The following is a 20941-nucleotide window of genomic DNA, read 5'->3' as shown; positions in this document are numbered from 1 at the left end:
ACCCACATGGTTCATTGATGGAAGCTCTTTTAAGGAACCATATCTGGCAGCTGGCTATGCCATCATTGCCGAAAACAAACTCCTATAATCCAATGCTCTCTCATCACATATCACCTCACAACAAGCGGAACTATTTGCCCTAACCAAGACCCTCACTCTAGCAAAGGGAAAGAGGGTCAACATTTACACCAATTCCAAATATGCATACCATGTCCTACAGTCTCACACTGTAATCTGGCAGGAAAGGGGTTTTTCTAACTACAAAAAGAACCGCCATAATAAATGGCAAACTCATACACAAGCCGCTGGAGGCAGCTAAACTACCACTAGAGGCCGTCATTATCCATTGCAAGGGACACCAAAAGGCTACAGATGCCATAACCAAGGGAAACTTCTTAGCAGATTCGGCAGCCTGGCAGGCAGCCCTTAGAACACTATTGTTATTGCCCATTTTCCCTAGCATACACCCAAGAAGAAAAAGGTGCCTTGCTGGCTCCAGGGCTGTTCATAACGAAAGCTGAATTTACTTAGACTACAAACTCATCCTACCCAAGACCCAAAAACTTTCTGTTCTCACCCACATCCATAACCAATTCCATGCGGGTTATCTCCCGTTGCTCCAATTTCTAAAAACCTGTATACATTCCCTTACCATGGCCATCAGCTTGGACCGCCTCACTAAAGGTTGCTCTGCCTGCAGTCAGACTTCCCCTCAGGGGCCCTTAGACCACCTCCTTTTCCCTCCCTTCAGGCCCAAAGGCCAGTTGCCGGGACAGGATTGGCAAATTGACTTCACTCATACGTTCCCCCATAAAGAAAGTCTGATATCTCCTCACGATGGTAGATACCTTTTCAGGTGGATAGAAGCCTTTCTTACTACCACTGAAAAGGCACACACCATTGCCTCTACCTTCCTCACACACATCATCCTTTGATTCAGCCTCCCCTCATCTATACAACTGGACAATTGACCAGCATTTATCTCCCAAGTCACTCAACAGGTTTCTAAGTCTTTAAACATCATATGGGTTTTTCACATTCTCTATCACCCCCAATCCTCGGGTAAATTTGAACAGGCGAATGCCCTCTTAAAACAACAGTTAACCAAACTTTCCCTAGAGATCAAAATGAAAACTGAATATCACTTCTTCCCTTGGCCCTTATGTGCCTCAGGGCCCTCCCCCGAAAACCTCTAAATCTAAGTCCTTTTGAACTTTTGTATGGACGTTCTTTCGTCCTACAGAACTTTGCTCCATCCCCTCCCTTACAGGACACCTGGCCAGCACTGCACCTCACTCAACACTTAGTCCGACAGTACACTGACACTCACCTCCCCAAACCTGAGGATTCTTCCCAATTCACTTTCTTACCCTTACAGCCAGGAGACTGGGTCTGGGTAGCACACCCCTCCTCCCCTTTCCAACAAAATGGAAGGGTCCCTATCAGGTTATATTCACCATCCCCGCTGCTGCAAAGTTAACATCCTTTCCCTATTGTATACACCATTCCAAATTTAAAAAGGCACCCGGCCCACACCCCGAAGTCTCCTCACCCCGGAAATATTCTTCCTTTCCCACAGGACCAACCTCGCTGTGCCTAACAAGAATTCCAGAAGTCACCCATCCGAAAGGCACTGGCCCATGACACTCTCCACTTCCAATCTTAAATCTTTTACTTCATACCTTGTCTCAGATCTCTCCTGGTACCCCTTCCCCACGCCCTTAGATAATCCATCTCAATTCCTCATGCTAATTGAGGAGCTATGGCTGCAAGGCACCTTCCAGGATTTCACACCTACACAAATCTCCTTTTTCTCCTTTTGCCTTCTCTGCTTATGGGATATTCTGAGTCCCCACCCCCAATCACTGACAGCTGGGCCCCCTTCATCAGCCTCACACACCACGTATTAAGTCAGTCACAATCTCCCCTCTCCTCTAACTGCTGGATTTGTCTTTCTACACACACCCAATGATTCACGGCTCTTCCGGCTGACCTACTTACATGGACACAGTCCAACGTGAGCTTACACATTTCTTACTTGGCTATACCATTCTTGGCTGATTCATTCCTGAAACCGGTTCATAACCTGGAAACTCAGCTAAACACCTTTCCTTCAAACTCAGCTCTCTCAGCATGGTTTCAGGTAGGGCTGTTGCCCTCCTTCACCTAATAGCTTCTGGACTAACATCCATACAAACCAACACAGCATCATCTAAACCACCAATATGGGGGTACCATTTCTACTCAAACTTCCTTCATATCCCCACCCCCCTTATGTCTCAGCCGAACCTACCCTAATCCAGCCCACGCCACAATGGTGGGACAGGTTCCCCAGTCCCTATGTGGTCTTATTTTTACCCTTGCACTCCCTGTAGACCATCAATTCTACACCCTAATTACAAAATCATATCCACCTCTGCCTGGCAGAAGGTGTTATGCTTTTCTGGCTCGCCTACCATCCACACATCCCTACACCTCACCACCGGATCCTCTTTTCTTTCCTTCCATCCAATTCCTGGCTTCCCCGCTGCCAACTCTGCTCTCTATGTCTCCAGTTTAAAGGTGCCCCCTGGAAAAAATGTAACAATTCCCTCACCTGTGACTGGTACCTGACAGCCACCACACCGGGGCAGCAATGGCTAACGGTTGACAAAGACAATTTCTTTCTCTCTCCAAAACCAAACAGCCTTCATCAACTCCCTAGCCAAGACTCCCTATCAGGCCCTTACAGGTGCCGCTCTGGCTGGCAGTTACCCAATTTGGGAAAACGAAAATACCCTATCATGGCTACCTACCTTCACCTACAACTTCTGCCTGTCCACCCCCAGTCTCTTCTTTTTGTGTGATACAAACTGATATCTTTGCCTACCAGCCAACTGGTCAGGAACTTGCACCCTGGTCTTTCAGGCTCCAACCATCAACATCCTACCCCCTAACCAAACTATTCTAATTTCTGTAGAAGCCTCTATCTCCTCTTCACCCATAAGAAATAAATGGGCTCTACATCTCATCACCCTGCTAACAGGATTAGGCATCACTGCTGCACTTGGCACTGGAATAGCAGGCATAACCACCTCAATCACCTCATACCAAACACTATTCACAACCCTTTCTAACACCGTAGAAGATATGCACACTTCCATTACCAGTCTCCAACGACAATTAGACTTCCTCGTGGGAGTCATCCTTCAAAACTGGAGAGTCCTGGACCTCCTAACCACTGAGAAAGGGGGTACCTGCATATACCTCCAGGAAGAATGCTGTTTCTGTGTTAATGAATCTGGCATTGTTCATATCGCAGTTCGTAGGCTTCATGACAGGGCTGCAGAGCTTTGACATCAAGTCGCTGACTCCTGGTGGCAAGGATCATCCCTTCTAAGATGGATACCCTGGGTTGCCCCCTTCCTAGGACCCCTGATCTTCCTCTTCCTGTTACTAATGATTGGGCCATGCATATTTAACCTTGTATCCCGCTTCATTTCCCAAAGGCTGAATTGTTTTATCCAGGCAAGCATGCAAAAACACATTGATAATATATTTCACCTTTGCCACGTCTAATACCAGAGCCTACGAGGAAACCATTCGGAAGCTCCAGAACCCAGGCCCTAATCACAACGCCCCTATCCAGCAGGAAGCAGCCAGATGATCAACGACGCCCTTTTTCCTTTTTATACTAAAGTAAGAAATAAGAATGTTAGCCCAAACTGCACTATTTTGCAGACCCCTACCATTTTACAAACTGGTCAGAGTGGAAAATTCCACCAGGGCCTGAGCTGTGAGAAACATCCTGTCAGGCAGGTCCCAGGCCTAACCCCTGGCTGCACTAAATTCCTTCATTATCAGCAGCCAAACACACCGCCCCCACCCCATTTTCACAACAATCCCAGACCTCTCCTGCCCGGGACTGTAACTGGTCCAGCCTGTAAGCGGGAAGGGGGCTCTGGCACTAGCTGGTACCCCCTCTCCGCAGGTCTTTCTCCCAATAAATCTGTGTTGCCATTGAGCTGCTTCTGTTCCGTTCTTTTCTCCCTTTCATTCTAACAGATCAAACTACTTCATTCAATTCTGACTGAGGTATAAATATTCCATTTTATGAAAATAATATACTTATTTAATCCATTTTACTTTAGTTTTATGTCATTTTTTGCTACCACAAACAGTATTCAATAAACATTTTAGAATATATTTCTTTTTGCACCTGTGCAAAAGTTTTACTTCAATATAAATATCTTAAAGTAAAATTATTTTATTGAAGGACATACATTTGTGTTTTATCCCATGGAACTTGAACAGGAAAAAAGATCTTCAAAATATGGCCTCCCAGGAATGTGAGTTTAGTACACCATAGTATAGTAGATCATACTGATTGTTACCAATAAACATAAAGGCAATTGGAAAAATTTAAGATTTTCTACCTAGTACAAGGATGAAATACCAAGGTCTGCATAAAAAATACACATAGTAGTCATAAATGATGAGAGATTATTATGACTGTTTTTTCAAAACAGCCCCAAGGCCAAGCCCCTGGCTATATAAAAGAAGCCTTTGAGATTCCCACCTTGTGGTGAAGTATCTAATCATGAAAGACTCTGTGGATGACTGATTGTCAGACGGTAAGCCTAAAAATCTATGAAAATAATGTTTCCCAAAAAGTTCACTAGGCTAGAAACAAAAGACAGTTAGAAAATTTTGACTGATACTGGCCCCAGTGATGTCTTTTTTTAGCTTCTTTTGCACTTACTTACATTTTAGCACCTACTTGTTATTTTCCATGTCTCTTTTGTCTTTAACTTGATAATAGAGTTCCTTTGCATTCTCACGCAGCAATTATTATAATACTTATATATTGTATGCACTCAATAAATATTTGTGTCTAATTGTTTAAAACCTATCAATGAGCTCCCATAACTGTCAGAATAATTCCAAATTCTAAAATTCTAGCCAAGGCCTTTCACTATCTGATTAAGAGGTACTTATCTAGTCTTACTTCTCAAAACAATCCTTAACTACTTCAATTCCTGGAAATCCCCATGGTCTTACCACATTTGGTCTTAGGGATGTTGAAACATGGCACTCTTTCTGCCTAAACGATTTTCCTTCATTTCCCATTTACTCACAGATTAGATGTCACTTCTTAAGGTAAGCCTTTTCTTATCCATTGGAATATGATAAATGTCCCTTTCATGTGTTTGCGTAGCACTGTATACTCACATTTGTATTGTAATTGCCTATTGACTTATGTCAATCATTGAATACATGAAAGCCTCTTAAAGGCAAAGACTAAATATGATTTCCATTGCAGATGGCATACCAGAGTTTATGTTCAAAAAAATTCTTAAATCTTTTTTGTAATTAAAAATTTATGAAAATAATTACATCAGTATATGGTGGAGTCTGCAATCAAGCCTTCCTGTTCCCACAAAGAGCAACAATTTGTTGTGAATAAAACTAAATGGAAGAGCTTAGGGGTCCACTTAAGAGCCTCTGAAATACAGTGAAAAAAAAACTGAGAAGAACCACACAAAAAGTATTAAAAAAATCATTTCATTTCACCTGCATTAACCCATTCCTCAAGCTGGCACTTCTCAGCATGGAGTGGGAACTCTCTGGCATGCCTGCCCACCTTGCACAGAAAAGAAAAGGAGGATGTACAACCAGCTTCCTCGGGCTTTTGGAATGTTGCCCAAATGACAGCTTCAGTTTCACTCCACACAGATCAGTGGGAGAAATGCTATGGCTGAGACATCTGGATATGGCAGAGAAAAAGAAGGGGGACAGGCTCAATCAGTATCGGCCATGTGAATAGTCTCAGAGTGAACCCTAGTGGTCTGCTCAGCACAGGATTCTAGCAGACATCTCCACTGAGGACCTCAACAACCCTCCTGGTGGATGTGCAGCCCCTGCAGCAATCATTGCCCACAACTACTCCGTGTTCTTGATTACTAACATCATTGACTTGTTCTACAGAGGAGCTTAGCGGCTTTCACCACTGAGGAAAACTGCCAACAAAAGAGCAGAAAACCCTCTGTAGTTTTTGCCACCAAAGGCCCTGCAGTATTTTTTCTTCACCATCTCCATGTACTTTAGACACTCCCTTTTCCTGGAGTCACCCAGAGTCACAACTGCTGCTGCTGCAGTCACCAGGGCCCAGGGACTCATCAAGCAACATTGACAGTCACCAGATACCTGACCAGATGATGTTCTCTCTCTCTTTTTTTCTTTCTCTTTCCTCCTCTCCCCTCCCTAGAGCCACCTGAGCTACTCTCACCATAGTTAGCCCAACTAGGTGACTCACTACTGTATCCATTGGTATTTTCCAGGTGACTAAACCATGACTCTTCCTTTGTGGAGTCACCCCAGCTGCTGCCTCTGCAGGTGCTTTGTCCCAGAGACCCAGTGCAGCTACTGTGCTTGTGCCCACAGATAGTCCCAGGGCCCCTGCTGAAGGCTCTAGCCCCAACATCTTGCACACCCAAGGCTGGCCACTGAAGCTAGGCTGTTGCACACTGCCAGCCCAGCCCCACAGTTGAACTTGAACAAGCACCTTGCCATGCCTCTTGTCTCCTGCCTCCAAAATACTGCCTACACACACAGCTGGCTCCTGGAGCTGCACACGTGTGCACACTTCCAGCTTATTCCTGAAGCTGCCCATGCATGCACACATGACTTCATCTTACTGCTGAACCTCAGATGGCCTGTTCAGTCGTTCATGTGCAAGCTGACAGCAAGCACTGCCACATGTGCACTCATACTCAGCCTCAACTCATACCTCTGAACCCAGCCCTCTAGGTGGCCTGTGCTGGAACGCTCATGATTACAACTAGCTTCTGCAGTGAAACATGTACACATCACTGGCTGCAACCTTCATGATTGCCAGCCCTAGAGCCTAGTTACTGGGCAGAGAGACACAGATGAGTTTACTGACACCCCTCACAGATACTGAAGATCTCCCACAGGTCTTGCCAACAAGGATCATTCAGGTGACAATATTAAGGTCTGATATAAGTATAGCCAACCCTGTTATAAGATGTTTTACATTACCTTCATGGTAACTACAAAGCAAAAATGTATATTAGACATACAAAAGAAAAAGATGAATTAAAGCATAATATTACAGAAAACCATCAAATCACAAAGGAAGACATGAAGAGAGGAAATAGGAAACAAAGGATCTACAAAACAGCCAGAAAAGAATAGAATGGCAGCAGTAAGTTCTTACTATCAATAATTACCTTGAATATAAATAAATTTTCCCATGGCCTGAATGGATTAAACAATAAAACACCCAACTCTATGTTGCTTACAAGAGGTTTAACTTTAAGGACACACAGAGACTAAAAGTTAAGTGATGAAAAAATGTATTCCATGGACTTTGAAACCAAAGAGAGTAGTGATAGCTACTTATAACAGACAAAATATGCATTAAGTAAAAAAACTAAAAATTTAAAAAGGTCAATATAAATAAAAATCAAGGTGATGTAACAACTTTTAATATAGATGCAACCGATTTCACAGCACATAAATATGTAAAGCAAATATTAGATCTGAAGGGAGAGAGAGATTGCAATGCAATAATCGTAGGGTAGTTAAATATCACACTTTAACAACAGGTAGATTAGTGAAACACAAAATGAAAAAGGAGCCACTGTACTGAACTGTTTTAGACCAAATGGACTTAGCAGTAAATTTTGACAAAATTTTACATATTTTCATGATAAGACTTCTCAACAAATTAGGTACAGAATGAATGTAACTCAACACAATAAAGGCCATATATGACAACCCACAGCTAACCTCATACTCAATAATGAAAATTTGAGTTTTTCTTAAAATCAGGAACAGGACAAGGAAGTCTAATCAGCACTTCTACGCCACTTCTATTTACAATAGTACTTGAAGTACTAGCCAGAACAGTTAGGCAAAATAAATGAATAAAAGGCATCAAAATTGGTAAGGACAAAGTTAAATTTTCCTTGTTTGCTGATGACATGATTATATATAGAGAAAATCCTAAAGGCTCCATCAAAAACCTGTTAGAAATAATAAACAGATTGAGTAAATTTACAGGATACAAAATCAACATGCAAAATCTGTAGTTTTTTGTTTTGTTTTGTTTTTTTGTTTGTTTGTTTTTTGAGACGGTAGTCTCGCTCTGTCACCAGGCTGGAGTGCAGTGGCGCGATCTTGGCTCACTGCAACCTCCACCTCCCGGTTTCAAGGGATTCTTCTGCCTCAGCCTCCTGAGTAGCTGGAACTATAGGCACACACCACCACGCCCAGCTAATTTTTGTATGTTTAGTAGAGATGGGGTTTCACCATGTTGGCCAGGATGATCTCGATCTCTTGACCTCATGATCTGCCCACCTCTGCCTCCCAAAGTGCTGGGATTACAGGCATGAGCCACTGCACCTGGCCTGTAGCATTTTTATACAGTGATGATTAAGAATGTGAAAAGGAAATTAAGAATACAATTCCAGGCCAGGCACAGTGGCTCACACCTGTAATCCCAGCATTTTGAGAGGCCAAGGCGGGTGGGTCATCTGAGGTCGGGAGTTCAAGACCAGCCTAATGAACATGGAGAAACCCCGTCTCTACCAAAAATACAAAATTAGCTGGGCATGGTGGTGCCTGCCTCTAATCCCAGATACTTGGGAGTCTGAGGCAGGAGAATCACTTGAACCTGGGAGGCGGAGGTTGTGGTGAGCCAAGATCACGCCATTGAACTCCAGCCTGGGCAACAAGAGTAAAACTCAATCTCAATGGAAAAAAAAAAAAGAAAAGAAAGAATACAATACCATTTACATTAGCATAAAAATAAAATAGGAATAAATTTTACCAAAGCTGTGAAATATTTGTGTACTCAAAATTATAAAACACTGATGAATAAAATTGGAGAAAGAAATATAAAATGAGAAAGACATGAGACATTTTCAAACAAACAAAACCAAGAAAGCATATGACCACTAGAGGTGCCCTACAAGAAATGCTAAACAGAATTCTTCAGGTTCTAATTAAAAGATGCTAGACAGTAACTAAAAGATATATGAGGATATAGCTTTTGTAAAGGTAAATACATGGGCAAATGTGCATATATAAACATATATATAATATATATATAATATCCATAAAGTCTATTTTTATATATACATATAAATCGGATATATAACTAATATCCATCCATCAATGTAGTATTGTAATTTTGGGTTGGACCCCACTTTTTTGGTAGAGATTTAAAAGAAACATGCAAAAAATTATTAATGCATTGATAGGTACACTATACATAAGGATGTAATTTGTGACATCAAAAACATAAACCGCGAAGGATAAGGGGCTGTAAAAGAGAAGAGCTTTTGTATGTAATTAGTTTATATTAATTTAAGAGGATTCTTATAACATGAAGATATTATATGTAATCCCTATGGTAAACATAAATATATAGACAGAATATTTATTAAAAAATTAAAAAGGAATAAAGACATCACTACAAAATTGTATTAACACGAAAGGAGGCTGCAATAGAAAATTAAGCAAAAAGCATAAGACATACAAGAAGCAAATAGCAAATTAACACTTCTCTAAATGTCAAATGATTCAACTCTCTAATAAAAATTCAAACTCATGACACTTTCGAGAGAATTAAATAATTCTCAAATAACAAGCTTCAATAAAAAAAGAAATGTATGAAATGTCAAAATAATTCAAAATGATATTTAAAAGCTCAGTGAGATACAAGAGAAGACATATTAACAACACAAAAAATTGAAAATCAATTCAAGATATGAATGAGAAATTCAACAAAGGGATAAATATTATAAATTTAAAAATAAGCAAACAGAAACCCTGGAATTAAAGAATTCAATAAATGCAAAATATACATTTGATGGCTTCAAAATTAGACTAAATCAACTGGAAGAATGAATTATAGAACCTGAAGACAGATCTTTTGAAATTACACACCAAAAAAAACTGAATAAAAAATAAATAAAGCATATTTGACATATGGGGCACCATAAAGTAATCAAATATTCAAATTTTGAGTGTTCCACAGGTGAAGAGAAAGGCAAAGGCATAGAAAGTCTGTTTAACAAAATAATACCTAAAAACTTTTGAAGTCTAGAAATTTATACAGCCATATATAGGAAGCTCAGAGATCCCCAAATAGATACACCTCAAAAAGTTTTTTTCCAAGTCAAACTGTCAAAAGTCAAAGACAGAGATTTCTAAAAACAGCAAGATAAATGCATCTACTCACATATAAAGGAATCCTCGTCAGACACACTGTGAATTTTTCAGGAGAAACCCATGCAGGTCAAGAGCAAATGAGATGACATATTTAAACTGCTGAAAGAAAAAGAAAAAAAAAAACCCTGCTATTCAAGAATAGTATGCTCATCAAAGTAAGCCTTCATAAATTCAGAAGAAATAAATTACTTCCAAGACAAGCAAAAATTAAGGGAATTCATTACCACTACACTGGCCCTACATGAAATGCTTAATGAAATCCCACACCTGGCAGCAAAAGGATATCTATCATCCTGAAAACACACTGAAGTATACAACACACTGGTAGAGCACATGCAAATAAAGAGGAAGGACTCAAATGTTACCACTTACCAAAAACCACCAAACCAAAATCATAAACAACAGGAGAGGAATTAAGAGAAAAAGAATATTCAAAACAACCAGAAAACAATTAACAAAATGACAAGAATAAGTTCTGCTATATCAATAATAACCTTGAATTTACATTGATTTAATTTTAATTTAAAGATATATATTGGCTGAATATATATACATATACATATATATACATACATATATATACACATACATATATATACACACACACACACACACATATATATATATGTGTATATATATGTGTATATATATATATATGTATTACCCAACTTCTTTATGGTACCTATGGTACCCATAGGAAACTCACTTCACCTGTAAAAACACATATGGACTGAAAGTATAGGAATTGAAAAATAAATTCCACACAAATGGAAACCAAAAGGAAGCAGTAGTAGCTATCTTCATGTTAAATAAAGCAGACTTTAAGTCAAAATAGTAAAAAGAGACAAAGAAGGTTTTTATACAATTTTGCCAGAGTATATAACAATTATATATATATGCACCTAACACTAGAGCAGCAAGATACATAAAGCAAATATTACCATATCTAAGTGGAGATAGAGACTCAAATAGTAGTCAGAGACTTCACCACCCCACTCTCAGCATTAGACATATTAGATAGAAAATTAACAAAATGCTTTGCATTCAAAGTACACTTTAGGCCAAATAGACCTAACTGACATTTAGAGAATATTTTATTCAACAGCGGCACCTGCTGCTGTTTATTTTGACACGTGGAACATTCTCCAAGATAGAGCATACATTAGGCCAAAAAACACGTCTCAACAAATTTTTAAATTCAGTCATAAAAGGTATCTTTACAGATGACAATGAATTAAAACTAGAAATCAATTACAACAAGAACTTTGGAAATTAAACACTATACTCCTGAATGACTATTGGGTCAATGAACAAACTGACAGAAATCAAAAAGATGCTTGAAACAAATAACAATGCAAATACAACATTCCAAACCTAAGGGATACAGAAAAACCAGTGCTAAGAGGAAAGCTTATAGCAAGAAATGCCTACTTCATAAAAGTTGAATAATTTCAAATAAACAATTTAATCATGCAACTCGAGGAGCTAGAAAAGGAAGAACAAACCCAACATCAAATTAGTAGAAGGAAAGAAATAGAATCAGAGCAGACTAATTGAAGGTAGAGACTAAAAATACAATATAAAGATTCAATGAAATGAACAGCTGCTTTTTTGGAAAAAATAATAAAAAATCAAATTGGCAAATCACTACCTACACCAACCAAGAAAGAGAAAATACCCAAACAAAACCAGAAATCACAATTGATGTCACAACATACGAAATGTCATCCGTGTAAACCAAAAATAAATTTCTGAACTCCCCCTCCCAACCATCTAAATGGTCTTCTTCCTTGTCAAGGGCACTCTACCCTGAAACACTGGTTCAGGCCATGACAGGAAGTGGGGGTCAGACAAGCCTCATTATACCTCTCCAGCATTAACATCAACACAGATCTTAAGTCTGATAAGTAACATTTACAATCTATTCTCTCCGAAGCCTGCTAGCCAAAGGCTTTATCTGCACGCTAAACCTTTGGTCTCTACAATGTCTTATTGCAACCCAGACATTCCTTTCTATTGATAACTCCTTCAACAAATGGCTAATTAGAAAAAGTTTAAATCCACCTATAACATGGAAGTCCCCACTTTTAGTTGTCCTGCCTTTCTGGACCTAACCAATGTACTTCTTAAATGTATTTGATTGACGTTTCATGTCTTCCTAACGTGTAAAATCAAGCTGCACCCCAACGGCCTTAGGCACACGTTCTCAGGAGCTCCTAAAGGCTGTATCATGGTCCATTTAAAACAGAATAAATCTGTTTAAATATTTTACAGAGTTTGACTCTTTTCATCAGCATTGGAGACTATTATGAACAACTATATAATAACAAACTGAAAAACAGAAAATGTATAAATTCCTGGAGAGATACAATCCACAAGACTGAGTGAGGAAAAAATAAATAGAAAATGTGAACAGACAAATAGTGAGTCACAAGTTTGAATCAGTATTAGAAAGACTTTCAACAAAGAAAAGCCCTGGACTGTATGGCTTTGATGCCAAATTCTACCACACTCATAAAAAATAAATGGCCAGGCATGGTGGCTCACACCTGTAAAACCAACACTTTGAGAGGCCGAGGCGAGCAGATCACCTGAGGTCAGGAGTTCAAGATCATCCTGGCCAACGCGGCAAAACCTGATCTCTACTGAAAAAAAAAAAAAAAAGTACAAAAATTAGCCTGGTGTGGTGGCGGGCACCTGTATTCCCAGCTACTCAGGAGGCTCACTTGAACCCGGGAGGCGGAGGTTGCAGTGAGCCAAGATCATGCCACTGCACTCCAGCCTGGGCAACAAGAGCACAAGAGGGACATTCCATCAAAAAAAAAAAAAAAAAAAAAAAAAAAAAAAACACCAATTTTACCAATTTTCCTCAAATTATTAAAAAATGTTAAATATTGGCCAGGCTTGGTGGCTCATGCCTGAAATCCCAGCACTTTGGGAGGCCAAGGCAGGCAGATCACCAGGTCAGGAGATCAAGACCATCCTGGCTAATACGGTGAAACCCCATCTCTACTGAAAATACAAAAAATTAGCTAGGTGTGGTGGCGGACGCTTGTAGTCCCAGCTACTAGGGAGGCTGAGGCAGGAGAATGGCATGAACCTGGGAGGCAGAGCTTGCAGTGAGCAGAGATCACGCCACTGCACTCCAGCCTCGGGATAGAACAAGACTCTGTCTCAAAAAAAAAAAAAAAAGTTAAATATTAGCAATTTCTCCATAACTGATTATATGATGCCTGAATTACTTTTATACTAAAACTAGATATAAACAAAAAAAATTATAGACCAATAACTCTGATAAATATAGAAAAAAAATCCTCAACAAAATACAAGCAAAGGGAATTCAACAGCACATTAGAAAGATAACACGTCATGATCAAATAAAATTTATTCCAGGTGGGCAAGGATGGTTTATCATACAAATCAATAAATGTGGTAAATTACCTCAACAGAATGAATGACAAAAAACATAATCATCTCAATAGGTACAAAAAATATTTGAATGAATTAACCATCCCTTCATGATTAAAAACTCTGAACAAACTCGGTATAGAAGGAACATATTGTGACATAATAATGGCCATATATGGCAAATGTACAGCTAACATCACACTGAATGGGGAAAAGTGGTGTAGCAGGATGAGCCACAGACAAAATTCCTCAGACACTGAGTTAAAAAAGGAAGGGGTTTATTCGGCCGGGGGCATCGGCAAGACTCCTCTCTAAAGAGCCGAGCTTGAGTGAGCAATTCCTGTCCCTTTTAAGGGCTCACGACTCTAAGGGGGTGCGCATGAGAGTCATAATCGATTGAGCAAGCAGCGAGTATGTGACTGGGGGCTGCATGCACTGGTAATTAGATTGGAACAAAACAGGATAGGGATTTTCACAGTGCTTTTCTATACAGTGTCTGTAATCTATAGATAACATAACCGATTAGGTCAAGGGTCTATCTTTAACTACCGGGCCCAGGGTGTGGTGCCAGGCTTTCTGCTTGTGGATTTCATTTCTGCCTTTTAGTTCTTACTTTTTTCTTTCTTTGGAGGCAGAAATTGGGCATAAGACAATATGAGGGGTGGTCTCCTCTCTTATTCCCCCCCTTTGGGACTCTCACTTAATAATGGGAGTTCTCACTTTCATTTTTACTAACCATGTCTTCTTGCAAGACAGATTGATAGTGATTCATATAGTACACTTGTGCTGAAGCATTTTGGTGAACTAACGTAGCGATGAAGCTTTTTATCATTTAAAGAAGTACAGGTAGCAAACAAGGGAGCAGTAAGCAGGTTCCTGTTACTATTATAACTCTTATTATAAGAGTTTTAAATCCTCCTAGTGCTGGGAACCATGTGCACAGGCACATGTGCCAGTTTTGTCATATCTCTAACTATGTCTTCAACTACTTGCCCTTGATTATCTAAGTGTAGGCAGCAATTAGTAAGGTTAAATTTCCTACAGACTTCTTCAGCTGCTGGCAAGCAGTCGAGAGCTAATCTATTTTGATAGATACCATTTTTCATTTCAGCTTCTTGCCGGGCCAGAATAGTCAAGACTCTGCCGGTTTTATTAGTGATTATTTTTAAGACAGCTTGTAACCATATGATTCAGTTGATCATGTAAATGGGGGTCTGGTATCCCCACGAGCCATCTTGTGCCTAAGTAGCAGGCCGATAATATTGTGTGATTCTCTCAGAGGGCCATTTATCATTTTTTTCAATTTCCTATAGCTATGCTTCTATTTTTGCAGGAAGCATAGACAGGGAAGCCCAGGAGTTTGCCTGTTTCTATAGGCAGTAGGAAGAACGATGGTTTAATAATGCCAATAACACAACTACCTGCCTACTTGTCAGGAAATTTGGCATAAGCTCTATGCCTACATATCCAGTATAATCCAGTGGGGGCTGTCCAGTCCTGGTGGGACTCTGGGTGGGTCCACACGGTTTGCAACTTTGGGAATTCACTAAATTGATTTCTCTCTGTGTGATTTGAACCCCACCAAGTGACTGATTTTGTGGTACCATTATACAGTTTCTGTCTCAGACAATTAAGTCATCCTATGGGGTGAGTGAATTCTTTTGCTTCTCTAGCTATGCAATATTGTCCAATAATTGAGGCTTTTGGGACCCAGAAGTTATCAGGGTGATTCTTTTGATCCGGGAATTCATCAGGAACTGGGTCTGTAGGTACTAATTCTCGGGCTTCCCATGGCCATTGATCTCCTATTACAGTTTCTCCACATACATAACATGAAGTGACATTGAGAGACTGGGCTACATGCTCGGCTAATTGCAAAAACAAATTTCTTGTTTTTCCTGGAATTTCTGGTACTGGCACATTTAGTTCATCATAGAAAGTTTGAAACACTGGCTCAGGAAAGCATTTGTAAACTTCTCCTTGAACCAAGATAGTTACTCGAGGATCCACTCTGGCCCCATCGATTCCTAAGGTCACACACTCATCTTTTTTCCAGTGAGGATCAAGGGGATTGGTTATTACTAGCTCTAAGGGGTTACATTGTCCTTTAGTACAGGAAGGGCCATTTTTTCCTTTCTAAAGGTGGACTGGATCCTTTTCTTTTTTTTTTTTTTTAATTCAAGTGGCCTAAATGACACAAGGCCAGTATTTATATTTATTTCCACAAAGTCCTGATTTATGACAGATGTACTTATTTTCTGCTATATAGCCTCTTTTCTAATTCAGAGAAGCATACCTTATTCCTAACTTATTACTGCTAATGACAGCACAGGCATCAAATTTTAAGGTGACTTGTTTGGGCACCCCTTTTTCTTCTGTTTTGGCTAGCGCTTTACTCATATCCTTTATGAGCCCCCAGCAGTCCTCAGTCCTTAATCTTATTTTAAAAACTGTGGTCATAGGAGGCTCAGATGGGTCATAACACACATCAGGTTGGTCATTTCCTGGGCTACATACCTTGTATAGAATAACATTATACAAAGAAGTTCTTTTTAGAGTTCCAGTACACTTATAATAACCATAAAATAGTAGGACCATAGCAACCTTTTGTCCTACCTCAGTGACTTGATGTATACAGTGGGAACAGTCCTCAGTCTGAGAAAGGTCAGTTGAAGTCCTTACTGTAAAAGTCCAAATTTTAAGGAAAATGAGTCCTGCAATGAGTTTTCTCATTCTTCAGCCATGCGTGGACCAGTTAGCTTCTGAGTGTGACTGGAGCAGGGCTTGTCGTCTTCTTCAGAGTCACTTTGCAGGGGTTGACGAAGCTGCTCCTGTCCACATACCGCTGACAGTCTACTGATGTTTAAGGATGGTATCGGAGGTTGGGCCTACTAGAATAAACCAAGTCCAACACCTCTACACAGTTATGTTCAACTGGGCTCTCTGGTACCGGGAGCAAGGTGGTGGGGTTTAAGGTGTTGCAAACTTCAACGGTTATGCTGGGATTTTCACATAGCAAGCTTTGGTACTTGGTTAATCTAGCATTTGTTAACTAATGATGTCTTTTGGTAGTCATTAAAGTTACCACAGCATGGGGGGCCTTTATATTCAGGTTTTGCCTAAGGGTTAGTTTATCTGCTTCTTGTGCTAACAGGGCCATTGCTGCTAGGGCACTTAGACCTGAGGGCCAGCCTTTGGAAACCCTGTATAGTTTTTTGAGAGATAGGCCACTGGCCTTGGCCAGGGCCCCACAGTCTGGGTTAAAACTCCAACTGCCATTTTTCTCTTTCTGACACATAGAGTGTAAAGAGTTTTTTCAGGTCAGGTAGTCTCAGGGCTGGGGCCGACATGAGTTTTTCCTTTAACTCATGAAAAGCTCATTGTTGTTGGTTGTAATAGATGCAGTTTATCTAATCTACATTTTTATTAACTGTCACCTACCAAAATATTGACTCAAATCCTGCAGCTATTTGATTTCAAGCTTTAAATTGATCTGGTCTTCCTCATGGGACTCCAATTGCGTCTAAATAGACATGAGAGTCGAAAGACCCATAAGGAGCTTCTCTGGCTTTATGATGTCTTATTTCTTTTCCTTCTGGTTGATGAAATTCCAAGGTGAAAGGGATAGCCAATTGGACTAAAGTATAAGTGCCACTCCAGTTATTTGGCAGAGTGCCCAGTAAAGGTCCACCACAATACCACCACACATCTGCTTGGGGATGAACAAGGGCTGACTGATTGATAAGCTCTTGAAAATTCTTAAGCTCACTGCATCTTTTCAGATATCCAAGGAACACTAAGTTTCCTCCCTGTCATGAGAGACACAAAGTGAACTTAGTGTTGGGAGACGGAAGCTGGATGGCCCTCGGGGGCTGACCTGCAGGGTGCCGGACTTTGGGATATAGCAGAGAGATCTTGGCATGACTTATTATTCCAGGCTGTAGAATCCTGGAAAAGAGCTGCCATACAGCCCACACCTGGTCAACTGGAGGACCACCTTAGTGGAAAGGGGACAATCTAGGCCTCTGGCCTGCCATGTGCACAAGCATAGCAATTGCTTTTATTTAGCATGCAGATGGAATATTTGATCCATTTTAACCAGGCATTTGCATCTTGGTATCCTGTCTTAATTGCTAAAGTTTAAGTCTTTAACTTCTATGATCCTCTAGTAAAATGAATATATGGTTTTAGGAAATTACAAAAACCAGTTGGGCAGTCCATCCTTGCTCTTTAGTGGTCCACAGAACATTGGACCAACTACGGCATGAAAGCTCTACATCGGGGAGTAAGACTCCTGGTTGGCACTGGGGTCTTTATTAAAATCTCCCTGGATTAAATGGTCCTAGTTTACTAATGCCCAGTCTGAGGAGAGTCAGGAGGGACGGAAGTACTTTTCTGAAGCAGAGAGCTGTCTTTGACTTGGCAAGTCCCCACAAGGTATAACAAGGCAAGCATTAAATGCAACAGTTTCAGATGAAATTGACTTGGTTATGTTAATAACTAGATGGTCAGCAATAGAACGAGGAAAGAAAAAAGAGTAATAGAATAGAAGAAAAGAGTTAAATTTTTCTTAGCTTTAGTTTGGTAGGGTTTTCCCCTGGGACTATGGCCCACAACTCTGGAGGGGGTGGCGCTTTCTTGACTCAGGTGTGATGAGTCCATCCACTTTTTTTTTTTCTTTCCTTTTTTTTTTTTTTTTTGCTGTATGAACAGCAGTCTTGGTGGTTAGCAGCACAAGGTAGGGTCCTTCCCAGGCTGGCTCGAGTTTTTCTTCTTTCCACCCTTTGTTGAGAACGTGATCTTCAGGCTGGTGCTGGTTTACTGGAAATTCTAGGAGTGGTACATGTGCTAAAAGACTTTTAGTTTTTGAGATAAAGGAAAGTGGAAGATAAACCAAGTGTACAATTTTTAAGAAATTGACCTTTTGTTTTAATTGTGGGGACCTTGGCAGTGGACTTTATAGTGCCTTTTTACTGAGAAATATCCTTTAGCACCTATTTTTATTAGTTTTTAAACCAAAGAAAGCCAAATACCATTTTACATTTAACGATGCTTCTTGTACGATTTTAATACAAGATAAGCTAAATTTTATGTTTATATTAGTGTGTTATTAATGTTAAACCTAATTTTAATAAAACCTTGTAGACATATTTATCTAATTTTTAATGTTTGACCAAAAGGTAAGATTTCATAGACTCTTTTTAACATTTTATAATTTTTGTGAAAGAGCAGGTTGGTGCTTTAAGAAAAACTTGTTATGCTTTTACTTTAATGTCCAGTTCACAGAAAAACTGGATGATACTTCTTTAACTTTAGCTAATCTGTTTACACACAGAATTTTCTTTACAATTAACATTTTAAAACTTGCTTAAACCTTCAAAACAATATTTTTTAACTTTTTAATGTAGGTAAAAATGTACATGCTTATGCTTCCTTATAACCCTTTTACCAAAGATACATTTTACTTTTCTTAACACCTTGCACATAAACTGTTTTTTTTTTCAATAGTTTTACATTCAGGAGGCCTAGTTACTTTTAAATTATACAACATTTCTTGCATAAATTCTTTTTTTATAACATTTTTCTGTTTCATGGCTTTCGCAGACAATTCTTCAACATGCCTCAACTTTCTGACTTATTACAAATATTTCTGTCTTTAAACAACCAGTTATTTCAGGACAAGAATTTACCATATAATACTCTTTTTATATAAATTCTGTCTCCCCTTTTTTTTTCTTTTTTTTTTTATTTCTTAGGATACTTCTGAACTGGTGAGGTGTGCTCACAATGAGGTTTCCTCTAAAAGTTATTTTTTTACTTTTTTGTTAGCAAAGCAATTGCCGCTACAGATTAAGTGTGTTTGGGCCATCCGCAGGTTACTGGGGTAAGGATTTTCGATAGGAAGGACTCAGTGCTTTTGAAATACGCGCTTGTTTACACTGACGACAAAGTGGTATTGGAGTGTTATAGGGTTATGGAGAATACCTTCAATTACCAATTATAGGTTTTAAATTTACCTTGGCTTTTAAAGGAATAGGGTACACTTTTTTTTCTTAAGTACTTGTATATCTCTCTCTTTCTCTCTTTGACTTTGTCTCTCTCTTTGACTTTGTCTCTCTCTTTGACTTTCCTTTTGCCTCTGTCTCTTCCTCTCTCTCTCTGCCCATCTCTTTCTTTCTCTCTCTCTCTCTCCTTGACTCCCTCTTTGTCGTCTCTTCCTCTCCGACTCTTCCTCTCTCTCTTTGCCTCTTTTCCTCTCTGTCTCTTTCCTTTCTCTCTCTCTGCTGGTCTTTCCTTTCCTCTGCCAGCTGCTTATGCTGCTCTTCTCTCAACCACTGTGTGTTGGGGGAAGGGGGTCTAAAACCAGCTGTAACCAAGTGTCTATGTACAGGAACTGGTCTGGGTTCCTTGGCTTATAGGTTACCTGGTGCCATACCTTTGAAACAAGGGACCTGTCCAGGCTTCCTTCTAATGGCCAACCTACTTCTAATGCTGGCCAGTCTATCTTACACAAAGTTTTAAGTTTTCCTGGTGTCATAGTACTCCATAGTCTGCCTTAAATTCTTTTTTTAAATTTTTTAACATAGTTCCGAGTAGAGTGGGCTTATTTGTGCCTGACCTATGCTTCTTCGAGACAAAACACCATGCTCACACCACACGCACACCACAAAACAAAGAACGGGTAAAAAGAGCACACACACACTTTTGCAGTTTGAACCAAACCAAAATCAAAACCAAAATCAGAGTATCCATAAATCCAAGCCAGGTCAAAACCAAAACCAAAGTATCAAGCAATCCAAGTCAAGTCAAAAACAAAAACCAAAGTGCTGGTACAGGCACACTGTGGATGATCAGGCCACGCTTTCACTCAAATGGAGTAGGCAAGTTCCCAAGACAATCCTGTCAAGCAATTCAAACCAAGTCAAAACCAAAACCAAAGTGCCAATAAAGGCACACCGTGGGTGATCAGGCCACGCTTCCACTCAAATGGAGTGGGCAAGTTCCCAAGACTGGTCCTGTCAATCAATTCAAACCAAGTCAAAACCAAAACCAAAACCAAAGTGCTGATAAAGGCACACCATGGGTGATCAGGCCACACTTCCACTCAAACGGAGAGGGCAAGTTTCAGAGACTAGTCTTACCAAGTTTTAGATGTCCGGACTCTAAGTGCTCATTCTTTCCCGGTGTTCAGCCACCGCATTTATCCTCCATGGGAGCCTGCCACACACTGCTCTGGTGAGGCCTCCCACCAGGGCAAATGCCTACCCGGGAGTGCTCTCAAGATCCGTGT

The 20941-nt window shown here is 40.0% G+C and overlaps 1 long non-coding RNA gene across 6 annotated transcripts in view; it reads left to right on the top strand.

The window, feature by feature from the left end:
• LINC01278 (long intergenic non-protein coding RNA 1278) overlaps positions 1-4003 on the top strand; it is a 134538-nt gene extending 130535 nt beyond the window's left edge. For 4 of the 6 annotated variants that reach the window (NR_152612.1, NR_152609.1, NR_015353.2 and 1 more), the window contains one exon: positions 1580-4003. This is a non-coding gene — a long non-coding RNA (long intergenic non-protein coding RNA 1278). The remainder of the gene's footprint in view (positions 1-1579) is intronic. The other 2 variants (NR_152611.1, NR_152613.1) reach the window with 1 other exon arrangement.
• Positions 4004-20941: the final 16938 nt, after the last annotated feature.

The sequence above is a fragment of the Homo sapiens genome, chromosome X, assembly GCF_000001405.40.
Source record: "Homo sapiens chromosome X, GRCh38.p14 Primary Assembly".
NCBI classification, from domain to species: Eukaryota; Metazoa; Chordata; class Mammalia; order Primates; family Hominidae; genus Homo; species Homo sapiens.
The sequence above is the reverse complement of the archived record's forward strand: the minus strand, read 5'-3'. Positions and strand labels throughout refer to the sequence as shown.